Source organism: Homo sapiens, chromosome 8 (genome assembly GCF_000001405.40).
Source record: "Homo sapiens chromosome 8, GRCh38.p14 Primary Assembly".
Classification (NCBI taxonomy): Eukaryota; Metazoa; Chordata; class Mammalia; order Primates; family Hominidae; genus Homo; species Homo sapiens.
The window spans coordinates 90,235,756-90,249,747 of NC_000008.11; the positions used below are offsets into that span (position 1 = coordinate 90,235,756).

Below are 13,992 nucleotides of genomic sequence, written 5' to 3' on the forward strand. Positions count from 1 at the left end.
AGAAGACACACTTTTCCCAAATATTAGCAAAAGAAAATAATGGAGGCTGGATAAGAAGAGATGAGATCATGGACTGAGAATCAGATGGGTTTCAGGTAAGCTAGGGATGCAAGAGGAAAGGTAAAGGTTTTAAGCAGCTATTGAGAGAAATATGTAATGGAACTGACACAAGATGAGAAATCATTGCTCAGTAGCAGTGAGGTCTCAGTTGAAGCTGGAATGAGTCATAATCAAACAAATCACCAGTGATTTTCTCTATTCATGCTCAGATGCCATAGGTATTAACACTGCAGAGAATCAAGAGGCCTGGTGATGCTTGTGTAGAATTGCTGAAACGGTTGATCGTGGAGGACAGACAGGAGAGGAATCATGCAAATACTACCAGAAAAGGTTAATGGATGGGGGAATATAAAGGAGAAAGAAGCCTGCAAAAGCAATGAAAGCAAAGAACAGGCTTAGTGGAGGTAAGGCTGTTTGAGGTGAAAGACTTGGGGGCCATGATTACAACTGAAATACAGGGTCCTAACTCATAAAGTCAGTGTATTGCATGTGAATGAGAAGATGCAAGGCATAGCTTTAAAGGTCACTAGATGGCATAGGGTATACATCTGGAGATCCATCTTAGCATTTTTTTGGTAACTAAGCATGTACTCTTTGTAGGTAATAGAGGTTTTTAAAAATTGTGTGTATGTATGTATCAAAATGAATCAAAACAATTAGGATAAAAATAGCTTATGTAAAGGTCCTTGGTAAGATGATAGCAAAATAAACATTCTGAATAAGGCATGTCAGAGTAAACTGTAGTTATTTTTGTCCCTCAAAAGCAAATTTTCTAATAGTGGTATACATGTGGCAGATCTATTTCTAGGAAAGCAATAAATTGTGTTGAAAAGAGACAAGACATATGCCTCACTCATGACTACTAGTAAGAAATAATAATTTCTGCATGACCAGTCAATGGTCAAAAGATATAAAAGGTTAGAAAGAAGGTATTTGGATAAACAATCCAAGGATGATATGTTAATGCAGATTCTTTAATCTATCATGTAGGTTAAATACATTTAATGTATACTATTTTGGCTATCTCTTGCTATATGATAAGCCACTCCAAAATTTAGCAGCTTAAAGAACAATAATGACATTATTGTGCAGAAGTCTATGGATGGATTGGGATCAGCTGTGCAGTTCCTCTCATTCGTGAAGAGTTGTTAGGGGCTGAAGACAACTGAGTACTCAAGTGGGCAGGACTGTTGAGAGCACTTGGTTAGCAGTTGGCTGGAAGTTCAGTTGGGGATCTTGACCAAGATGCCTCTCTGTTCCTCCATGTGGTTTTCCATATATCTTGGCCTTCTCACAACACCATGGCTGGGTTTGAATATTAAGAATTCCAGGTAGAAGCTGAAGATCTCTTAAGGCCCAAGTTTAAAAGTTACACCTGTCACATCTGCTGCTTTCTACTTGTCAAAACTAGTTTTGAATCTGGCCAGATTCAATTTACAGTGGTGATGTGTGGGAGTATCTTACTATATATATGTATAATCAAAGTAATATATGCATATATATTTTAAAAATCAAATAGTAAGAAGGTCTTGTGTGAAAAGTAATGAGTCCCTGACTGGCCTCCACTCTCTGCTCCACTGCAAAGATGAACACTTACTTGTTACTGTTTTCAGTTATTTTGATAGCTGTCTCAATCAGGGTCTGGGATTTGAATTTAATATTTTGTTTTATGTTTAAAACAATTTTTGTAGAGACAAGGTCTCACTGTGTTGCCCAGGCTGGTCTCAAACTCCTGGGCTCAAGCGATCCTCCCACCTCAGCCTCTGATATTTGAATGTACATTGCTGACAAGTGAATGACTTAGTCTGTTACTGTTCGAGTGATGCTCCTAGGTCTGTGAAAAATGATGCATTACTGACAGCACAGCGAGTAACATGTGCATTGTCTTGTTTGTGTTAGTTCCCTTTGTCCTCTCAAGTCCCACGGGATGACAAGGAGGGTCCAGACAAATGTCAGCCGCACATGCAGTGAATTGTGTGACAGGATCACTGAGCTTAGGGAGTCCACTGTTTCATTATAAGCAGTAAACAAGCCTGCTCTCTGACCTGTGGGAGATATTACTTCATTATTTAAGGTTGCTGACAGCAAACGCAGTCTGACATGTGGTTCAGGTCTGGGCCTTGCATTTCTAGCATACCCAGCAAGGTGTGTTTGAGCACGAGACCCCAGGAGGAGTGTCTCCCACATCTCTAAATCAGGATTTGACTTTTTTTTTCTCTAAATGGCTACATAGCAAATAGCTTAGGCTTTATGGGCCACATATAGTCTCCGTCACACATTCTTCTGTTTTGACCACTCTTTAAAGATAAATGAAAGCATTCTTAGTTCACCAGGCATACAAAAACAGGTCATGGGTTGGATTTGGCCTGCGAGCCATTGTTTGCTGACCCCTGCTCTTAACAATATATACCTTAAAAATAATTTATTAACATTGGACCTTATCTATTGATTTTTATCTGTGCTAGAGAAGAATATAATTCACTTTCACTTCACCTTTGTCCCTTTCTATGTATTTAGTTTTTAGTTCTCTATTAATGAAATTTGCAACTGTAAGTAATATACAACTATTAATAGCTCTATTTTCTGTTCTATTAATTGTGGGTAGTGCCTTTGGACTCCACAGTTTGTAAAATGAGATTATTGGTGTCTTTTCCCTTCCTGTTATCTCTCCTTCTCTAGCTTCATCTCCCAGCTTATGCAATTACTTTTACAACATTAGTGTTATTTTTATTTGTATTCAGTTCCCTAACTATAACTTTTAATACTTTTATACAGAATAATTATAAACTTTTAAAATGTAAACAATATTTGTACCATGACTATTAAATATTGTTCACTTGACTGCCAAGAATCAAACTCTGATTAAGTTTCCTTTCTGACACAACTTTTTGTTTTCCCTGGGGCTACTACTTGCCTTACATATTTTTATTTTATTTTCTATCATTATTGCATTCTTCAATTCTTAAAATTTCTCAAGGATAGTATATCTATGAAATCTCTATTTCCCAGATATCTTTCTTGGAACCTTTCATATTCTAACTCCAGTATGAATTGATTGCTCTCTTAGGCTCATTGAACCGCCAATTTTTTGGGATTTTTAAAATTAATCTGCTGCATTGGCTGATATTTCCTGGATCTTATGTCTTTTTTCTTGTTTGATTTATCTCTTTATTTGGCTGGAGCACATTTTCAAGTAATATTATAAAAGAGGATACATGAGACATAGTTTTCAGTTCTTGGTTGTTTAGAAATATTTTTTATTCTGCAGTCACATTTGGTTGATAGTTTTTTAGGTATAGAATTCTAGATTGAAAATAATTTTCCTTCAAAATTCTGGAGGCATTCTTCCATAACTTTTAACATCTCATGTTACTGATAAGTAGTCTAATTCCAGTTCCTTTGTAATTATTACCTAGAACATGTATGGAGTGGGTTGAAATTGAGGCCAGCTGATCTATCTACCTTGCAAAATTCTGTAGTTGGCTAGGACTATGACATTTCAATAATAATAGAATGTAGAAACAAGAGATAGGACTAAAAGGTCGGTGTGGTAGTCAGAGTGGCTTCTTCAAAATTATCCATACCCTAACTCCTAGGACCTGTGAATATGTTACATTACATGGCTAAAGTGACTTCACCGATATAATTAAATTTACAGACCTTAAGACAGGAAAGTTATTCTGGATTATCTGGGTGGACCCAGTCTAATCACAGGAGACCTTAAAAGCAAAGAACTTTCTCTGGATGGAGTCAGAGGGATAAGACAGAAGGAAAAGTCAGAGAGATTTGAAGCATGAGAGAGACTCAACCTGCTGTGGCTGCAGAGGACCACATGGAAAGCATGGGAAGAAATGCAGGTATCATAGAAGAGTAAAAACCTGCCTCAACTGACAGCCAGCAAGGAAATGGGGGTCTCATTCCTGCAACCACAAGAAACTGAACTCGGCCAACAGACTCCATGAAGTAGGTTGGAAGTGGATTCTCCCCAAAGTGTCCAGTAAGGAATGCAGCCCTGCCAACACCTGGATTGCAGCCTTATGAGTCCATCAGCAGAGGACCCAGCTGAGGTCCCATGGACTTCTGACCTACAGAAACTGTGAGATCATATGTCTGTGTTATTTTAAGTTACTGAGTATATCTGGTGATTTAGTATGGCAGCAACAGGTAACTAATAGAGAAGGTCATTAGTTGAAATCTATATGAAAAAAAAGTTAATGGCCCTATCCTTTTTTCTAACTTTCTTCACACATAATATTCATCATCAGGTTTGCCTACAATTGAAGTCAAAAAATAGCAAAGTCACTTTTCTGAAGAAATATAATCATCTGCACTCTGCAGAGGCAAGGCAGCTTTAAGAGCTTTGACTTGCATGTTGGTGGTTCAGAGACTCTCCAGCATGGTGGCCAGTTGCCTGCTCTCATGCCATAAAGCAAAATCTGCCAATCTGGCTTCCAAAGAACACAAATGGTTATCCCTAGACTAGTCAAATCAAGTATAAAATGTGAAAGAGTGAGGCAAATACAGAAAGAGAGAAAAAAAATAACCACAGAGGAAATAGAAAACACAACTAATAGGAAATTTCTAAAAATTAAAAGAAAATACAGGAAGGGGAACGTCACACTCTGGGGACTGTTGTGGGGTGGGGGGGAGAGGGGAGGGATAGCATTAGGAGATATACCTAATGCTAAATGACGAGTTAATGGGTGCAGCACACCAGCATGGCACATGTATACATATGTAACTAACCTGCACATTGTGCACATGTACCCTAAAACTTAAAGTATAATAATAATAATAAAAAAAAGAAAATATTTCATAATAGAACACTAATTAGTATTCTAGGGTTATTTGAGAAGGTTGCATTGATAATGCAAAAATAGGACACTAAACAAAAACAATATCTAAACAATTAGAAAACATACGAAATAACCCTTGGGAAAGCAAAAAATGATGAATGGAAGAAAAAAAACCCAAATAAATTTAAAGGTTGAAAACAAAAATCAAGGAAATTTTCTAGCAAGTAACAAAACAAAACAAAAACAATATAAAAAACCTATACCATTGGGAAATAAATGAGAAAATATTATAGACTAGAAGACCAAGCCAGGAAGCTCAATATCTAGTTAAAAAGAGTTTCAGAAAGTAACAGAGAAACAGATGACAGAAAATTTTGGAAGAAATAACACAGTCTTTTTCAAAATTTCATGAGGGATATGTGTCTCTAGTTTAAAAGGGTAAATACAGGCATATAATTTTTCCTCTTTCCGTCACTTGGATAGAAAAAAAAAATCTATCTTAGCATTTTATATGCTCATATTGCTACATAGTTCTGCTTGAGTGGGGCTGCCTTTGGGGAAAAGTTGTGAGAAAAGAAGGAGAAGAAAACAATGAGGATTCCCCTACATTAATTGGATCACAGGACCCATCTCTGTCAGTTCTTCTGGCTAGAAAGACTGGTTTAAGGTATCTGAACTATTTTTCCATTGCTTTAGTGCAGTTCTGTGGCTCAGGTTCTATTGGGTTAGAGTCAGGAGGTAAAAAATGAAAAAACCAGGAAAATCATGCCTGTTATGGTTCATTCTTCAGGTTTTGGCACACCTCTCCAATTCATCTTTTCAGAGTTCTCAGATTTTGATTTTTTAAATTTTGACCAGAATTTTTAGGTATAATCAGTCGAAAAACAAGTAAGGGTGTGCTTACTCCATTGTGGCCAACTCTGGAAATATGAAGCAGGTTTTAAATATTTAAGTATCTTAAGTATAAAATGAAAAATCCAGGAAGTTAGAAATATGAGACAAGATAAAAAGGTATATGGTTATCTATGGAAAGATTAATAAATTAAGTAATTGAATCAACAACGTCTCAGTTTCCATCTAGTGTAGGACTATGACACTTTACTTTTGGAGTAATTGAACTCACATCAAAGAACATTAATAAGGAGATATAAGGCTTGGTATTATAATGAAGGTGGAGGCAGCAAAGGTGATAAGTGGTTTGAGAAAACTCATAAAATGCGTAGACTTCTGAAACTTAGACTACAAAGTGCTAAGGAGGAGAATTGCCTGGCAGACTGCTGTTTATATATCTTTGTCTCTCTAATGGTGTTTAGTACAGTGCCTTACACATAGTAATGACATAAATGCCCAAAGAAAGGTTCAACTGATAATGACTGCAATGAAATTACTGAGCTGGTATGAAAAAGATCAAGAGTGAGTCCTGTTGTAATTGTTTTAGTCAGATGATGAACATTTTGTAGGGTATCAAGACTGGAATAGATGGAGATGAGATGGACCCATCTTGTTGAGGACATTAACTTTGAAAAAGAAGACCAGTATGGTGGCTCATGCCTATAATCTCAGCACTTTGGGAAAGCCAAGGCAGGAGGATTACTTGAGCCCAGGAATTTGAGACTAGTCAGGGCAACATGGCAAGACTCCGTCTCTACCAAAAAAAAAAAAAAAAATTAGCTGGGCATGGTGGTGAACACCTGTGATTTGTGATTCCAGCTACCCTGAGATGGGAGAATCACTTGATCCCAGGTTGAGACTGTAGTGAGCTATTTTCATGCCACTGCACTTCAATCTGGGCAACAGAGTGAGGCCCTGTCTCAACAACAACAACAAAAAAAAAAAAAAAAAGAAAAGAAAAGAAAAAAAAGAAAGAAAAATAAATCAGAAAGTGATCAGCAAGTATTTTGTCAAAAAATTTAATGGTACCAGCAGCTTGTGATATTTGTGATGTTAGGCTCTAGTTTCAGCAGTATTTGGGGAAAAAAAAAGACAAAAAAAAGACTATGAGTCATGAAGCTTGATCATTAATAGCACAATCTTTTCATGAAATTTCTACCATCATTTATCAAAATTTGCTCATCCTTTCATTATATCAAATAACAATATAAAAAAGACTTAATGGATTCTTTAAGTAGCTTAGCTTTTGGCACTGAAGAATCATTTTCAAAATTAATATATACAAGGAATTTTAAGCATAGGAAATCCATTTGAACTATCAAACTCTTATAAAAGTTTACATTATATGTTTATTAAATCTAGGCTATATGTAAAGACTTGTGTAGGAGATTTCTTAACAGGACTCCAAAAAGCACTAATCCTAAGAAAATCTGTTAAGCTGTACTACATTAAATTTAAGAACTTCTGTCTGTCAAAAGATACATTTAAGAGAAACAAAGCAAGTGGGATGGCCAACCATCCCAGTTTGCCCAGGACTAAGGGCTTTCTTGCAACATAAATTTTTAGTGCTAAAACTGGAAGAGTCCTAGACAAATCAGGATGGTCACTCTAAAGACAAGCAACAAAGGAGTGACAATATTTGCAAAATGTCTGTAGGATCTGACAACTGGGACCACCTGCATCTACAGGGCTTAGTTCTCAAGACTGGAAACAGACCACTTACAATTTGTTCTGAAAAGTTTGCCAAGAAAGATAAGACTGAAAACAATACATAACTTCACTACTTGCTTCAGGAAATTCATGAAAACTAATTTTTCCAAAGAGTAGATTGCTCATCTAGAAAAACGGCCCCCTTCTCAGGACGGTAGTTTGCTTACTTAGTGGAAAATCTCATAAAACAACTGTTTGTTTATGAAGACTCACTTTATGACCGTTGCCTTGTTGTCCCTCAATCCTATACTAATTTATTATGAATTTTTCCCAGTCCCAATCAGATGTCTGTATTGAAAGATTCATAAATCATTTGATTTTAGATTTTAAAAAATTCCACGGATATCCGCTCTTGTCTTCCCTTTTCTGAGACTGAAGAGTGTCAAACTGATGCTTTTCATCACAATAGTAGGTTAAGATATTTGGTTTTGCTTCATCATTAGGTTAATTTAATAGTCTCTGAGGGGAGTTGGCAGTTGACAAGTCTCTTTTAGAATATATAATGAATTCTTAAACATATAAGAAAATGAGAAGATCACCCAATATAAAAATTGGCAAAAGACTTGAACAAGCAGTTTACAAAAGAAAATACACACATAGCTAACAAACATAAAAAGGGCTCAACTTCATTAGACATCAAGAAAATGCACATTAATATTGTCCAGCAGAATGACTCAAATTACAAAGTGCTGGGGAAGAATATTATACATTGTTGATGGGAGTGTAAATTGGTGCGGTTACTTTGGAAAATAGTTTGGTATTATCAGTAAAAAACAAACATTTGTGTATTTTATGAATCAGAATTTCCACTCCTAGGCATAACACCCCCAAATAAACAATGAATATGTACACCAAAAGACATGCACAAGAATACTAACAGTAGTATCATTTGTTAGAATCCCAAATATTCATCAACAGTAGAACAGAGAAAGTATTGTATGTTTATACAATAGTTCATAGCAATTAAATTGAATAAACTACAGATTTTGCAACAATATGGGTTAAGTACACAAACATAATATTGAGATAAAGAAATTGGTCACAAAAGAGTACCTATTGTGTGAGTCCATTAATGTAGAATTCAAAATATTCCAAACTAATCTCTGGTATTAGAAATCAGGATATTGGTTACCTTTTGGGGGGTTACAACAGGAAGCGATCTGGACAGGCTTCTGGGATACTAGCTGCGCTTTATTTCTGGAACTAGATGATGATTACACAGGTGTGCTCATTTAGTGATGACTGAACTGTACAGTTATTAGCCACTTATTGGTATGTATGTGTTCCAGTTATCTATTGCTTTGCAACAAATCATCTCCATTGCAGTGACGTGAAACAAGAACAGTCATTTATCATTTTTATGAATCTGCAATTTGGGCTGGGCTTAGTAGGGACAGTTTGTCTCTGTTCCTTGCTTCATCAGCTGGAGTGGCTTGAAGACCAAGAAGGCTTCAAGGCTGAGGGCTGGAATCATCAGAGGACTCCTTGCTCACATATCTGCCTGTTAATGCTGACTACTGGCTGGGGCCTCATCTGAGGCTTTTGGCTAGAATGCCTACGAAGGGCTTTTCCATATGGCTGCTTGGCTTTCTCATAGCATGGTGGCTGGGTGTCAAGAGTGAGCCTACTAATAGAGCAAGGTATTTTTATAATCTAGTGACTCAGTGTTGCTTCCACCATACTCCAATGGTTAAGGGAAGTCTATTCAGGTTCAAAGGAAGGGCATAGACCTCACTGCTCAATGGCAGGAAAGTCAATGTCACCTGTAAGAATATTATGTGGGATGGTATATATTATCGTGGACTTCTTTGAAAAATACAATTTGCAGAAGTGTGGTAGAGTTTTTTAAAAAGTACGCTAAAGACATTGCAAGTTAAAAAATATAAAACAGCAACCCCTGGCGGTTATTTTAAAGCAGAGGGAGTCCACATGAAAAGCAATGCATCAAAGGGAGAAAATGGCAATCTGGAGATGTCAACTCTTACAAATTAACTCATTTATTTGTTTGTTAATAACTCGTTAAACATTCAGTGTTTGCCAAGTTCTAGGGGATATAGAAATGGGAAAATCAAGGTTCTTGCTCTTAAGAAACTCACCTAACATGGCAAATAGCTCCATCATAATTTTAGTACCATTGTTTAACTTTGGGAGCATGCCTTGTGCTAGCACAGTAAGTAATTGTTAGAAGAGATGGCCTCTGATCAGTGGCCCTTACAATATTTGCTATCACAATGTTTTCCTGGGTGTGGCCTATATGGTCAGTGTGTATAGTCTGCTTGAATCTGGTATGCAGATCTGCCAATCACTTGCACTTGGCAAGCCCCATTATTGCTATTCACACTATCATTGATTTAAATAACCGTGGTGCTTAACTTCTCAAGGATACCACTCTGGAGGGTATACAGATTTAGATAGAATTAAAGTAAACTGGGGCAGTGTATTTGGTTACAGAATATAGCAATGTGTCCTACTAAGGGCAGCATCTCTGTCAGGGGAAAGCTATATTTAACTCACTCTTTTTTAATTGCTTGGATGTAGTGCTATGAACATTAAAATTTAATCTCATTGGAAATGTCCCCTTTTTATAGATCCCAGGCCTTTCTCAGATTTAAAAAAAAATGCATTTACCTCATTTTAGCAAAGAGTAAAGACTACATCATGCAAAAGAATATTAACAGAAAATATATTGTTTTAAAATGATGCATGTTTCAATATCTAAGACATAAAATAGGTAAGTAAATAAATTTTAATAAGGTTAGCGTAGTTACACATTTATTTCCTCTTTTATAAACCCAGAAGAGAATGGGACACAAAGTATAATTGTGTAAACTTGGAGCATTAGCTAGTAGGATGCCACAAATAAAGTGGGTCATGAAGATTTTCAGGATATACAGAAAGTATTTATATTTGTGACATATAGACAATATGGATGTGATGGCTCATTTGTAAAAATTCTCTTATTTGCAGAGTGCAGAAGCATCTTCAGTTGGAGAGCCATTGCCTCTTGCTGTGAAATATTTGGGAATCTTCAGAAACCATGAAGAATAACCTGCTAAAGGTAATAATCATACAGAATTAGATTCTGATGCTTGCTTGGGAAGGTGTATGGTGGTTTCTCCCACCAAAGTAAAAATGTCTTCTTATCTGGAAAACTGCAGTGACTCTCCACCCCTCTGCCCTGGTCCTTTCCATTGTTAGACTATTTCCTGCTGTACTGAATTGAATCTTCCTTTTATCAATTATTTCCCTTTAGATTGATGAGTGAAAATCCATCTTAAGATGGATTAAAGTACTGCTTTCCAAAAGTTGAAGATAACTCTCATGTCAACTTATCCAGAGGAAAACATTTACATAGTTCTATATTCTTCAGACTCTTCTATGGCTTTTTCATAGTATCAACATAGGTAAACTCATTAGTCTGTTGTGAAAGAAACAAAAGATGCCTACTCTAGGTAATGGGCTAGGTACTTACAAACACATATTTTCATTTTATTTTTATAGTAATCTGAGGAAGATGTGATCAATCAGTAGTCCGAATGGTAAGGTTAAGTAAGTTGCTCCAACCAGACTAGTGAGTGGCTGAGCTGGTATTCCCAAGCAGAGCCTTTGACTTCATCTTCAGGTGTCTCCACTTCTCCATTGCTACCGTAAGAGTGACTGGCCACCTATGAGATACTAATTAAAGGATTGGCATTTACAGCAGCAGTGCTCAGACTTGAGTGGGTGGCCGAGTCACCTGCGGGGGGCATGTTGAAACACAGATTTCTGCATCCTACTCCAGAGTTTCAGATTCAGCATGTCTGGGATGAGGCCCAAGAATGTGCATTTCTACACATCTCCAGATGGTGCTAATGCTGATGTCTGGAGACCACATTTCGAGAATCACTGATTTAGAGTTCCTCAGCATTTGTCTGCAGGACCCTGTAATCAGATCAATACCCTTGATTAACAGGAAAACAATAGAAAGCACTGCCTTTCCCAGGAAGCCTACTCTCATGTAGTAAGGCCTCTTCTGCCCCCTACACCATCCTCCAACTTCCCTGTTTTCACACTCTCACAAGCCATCACCCTTTTAATTCTATAATCAACTGAGCCTATCTCTGTTATTGCATTTGTCACAATGTTTGCAAAATATATATTTTCTCCCTTTTCCCCAACAAGATTGTGGGGCTCTTAAGGGCAGAGGCTATTTGATTTCTTTCTGTACCCCTGACATCTAGAAAAGAGTTTAACATTCAGCAGAAACTCAATTTTAAAATGAACGAGGGAAAAAATATGGCTTGGTAATTACATTTCTGGGAACCAGAAAGCTATGAACATAACTGGTATGTCTTTGACAACATAAGAATTCAAAAAACATTTGAAAGGTGTGTGCCAAAATGAAAGAGATAAAACTCATAAAGAAAATGCAAATTTTCAAATTCAGATTCAAAAGTCACTTGATTAAATACAGAATCGAGACAAACAGTCTTTGTTGAGGTTGATGTGAAAAATTCTTAGGGGGTTTTAGTTCAATATGAATGAATAGTATGAAGTGACTGCTAGAACAATTAGTACAACTATGAGCTTTATATAGAGAGGTAGAGTATTTAGATTTAATACAGTCACGGTATTTGCTACGTTTTTAGTTTAAAGGCAATATCAGTGTTTGAAAGAAAGGAGCCTAGCAGGAGGCTGGGTTCATGTTCCCAATACCTCCTTATTATACCAAAGCCAGATTTAACTATAAAGCACATAGTCTTTCATTTGGTCTATTTTAATTTTACTTCAGAAAGATTTCATTGATTTTTTTCTTTTTTAATTTAAGAGCAGCAAACTTTTTCCTGTAGTTTCTCTTTCCTTTTTCCAGCTTGGAGGAAGCTGTAGCCAATTTCTTCTTATAGCATTTACCATTGAAAATTGACTTCCATTGTTCATGCCTCTTTCACCAACTCCTAATATTTTGAAATGGGTCTCTTTTGAACTTAAAAGTTCATAAGTTTAGTCTTAGTTCAGGTAAGAAGATTACTGAAGGAAAAAAATGGCTTAAATGAAAACCATTTATTTTTTCCTAGCTATCTACATAGACTAGCTTACTAATTTCCAATCAGAAAAAAAGTCCTGATAACTCTTTTAGGAAATATTGAATTTAAAAATAAGTGATATTTAAAACTGAAAAAACAAAATTCTTAGTTTCAGAAAAAGTAAAAACCAGAAATGGAAAAAAAAATTGTAGCTGGTCAGCGGCTCCCATTCTGAGTTTGAATTTGGCATAAAACATAGCATTTAAAAAAGGGTTCGAGAGAAGTTGGTGCTTTTTTTTCTTTTATGGCATGATTCTATTTGTATTTTCCCCATACTTCTCTGGCCTCCCATTCTCTATTTTCTTTGCTGGACAGGACATTTACTTATGGGTCCCAAATTGTCCTCCTTGTAGTTATTCCCAAAGTCTCAGTTCTTGACTCCTAGCTCTTCCCTTTCCATATTCTTCTTCAGAAAAAAATACCTTTTCCCACTGTACTTTTTAAATAGCTTTAACTCTCATCATCATATAGCTGATTTTAATGCATAACATCCAATTCTATTTTTAACCTTAGATTCAGTTCCATATTTTTAGTTGTCTACTTAATTTCATGTGAATGCCTTTAATTATCTCAAATTTATTGTTCTTTCCATTGGGATATATTACCTTTCTGCTCCAGTCAGATATTTCTCCTAAATTTTTTAGCCTTACCAAAGCACCATCATTCTCTAGATTAATTAAATTTAAACTTTTATATCAACTTCAAAATATTTTCTTTTTTCACCCTTTGTGTGTAGCTAGTCATCAACTTCTTTTATTGTTTCTTCCAAAAAATGCCTTTTTTTCCCATGCCCATTGCTGTAGTCAAAGTTCAGGCTCTCCTTGTGGATTATCTCAGTCACTCGCTCACTGTTCCCGCTTAGTGCGACTGCTCCATCCCCAAAATCAGGAACTTGCAGCGCTCCCTAGCATGTGCCTTACCACATCCTGTCCCCAACTGGAGCATGGCTGGGCAATTTATTTAAGCCAGGAATTTGGAGTTGGAGTCTCAAATGACAGGCAGATGAACAAAGGTCATGTTGGATGGGAATAACTGCTTTTTGTCTATGTGTATACTGTGTAGGTGATAGGCAAGCTAAAGGGTACTAAGAGAAGCAAGAATGTTTTGCTACCTAGCAGAGAAGGGGCTGGGCCAAGAGTCAGGTGACTTCCTGAGATATTGAGGGAGGAGCCTCACTTGCTGGCTTTCTGGTCAAGCCTCTGGGTGGCTTGACCTAGTTTCTTTCTTGTCCTGAGATACTTGTGAGTTTGCAGCTTGAATTCTTGTACTGTCTCCCTTTACTTAAGTTAACTGGATTGAGATTTTGTTTCTTGCAAAAAAACATGTCCTTACCCCAGTACCACTTTTCAGTCAATCACACATGGGTTGTAGTCATAGCTTTTTAGTTCACCGCATTAACACTAAGATGTAGGGATTTAAATCATTCTTACATTCACCTGCTAGATTAATATTCCTAAGTAAATTATCGGATT

The 13,992-nt window shown here is 36.5% G+C and overlaps 1 long non-coding RNA gene across 1 annotated transcript in view; it reads left to right on the top strand.

Annotated features, from left to right (window-relative positions):
* Positions 1 to 13,992, top strand: part of LINC00534 (long intergenic non-protein coding RNA 534) — a 166,472-nt gene that overhangs the window by 14,268 nt on the left and 138,212 nt on the right. The window contains exon 2 of the long non-coding RNA NR_051989.1: positions 10,425 to 10,515. This is a non-coding gene — a long non-coding RNA (long intergenic non-protein coding RNA 534). The remainder of the gene's footprint in view (positions 1 to 10,424; positions 10,516 to 13,992) is intronic.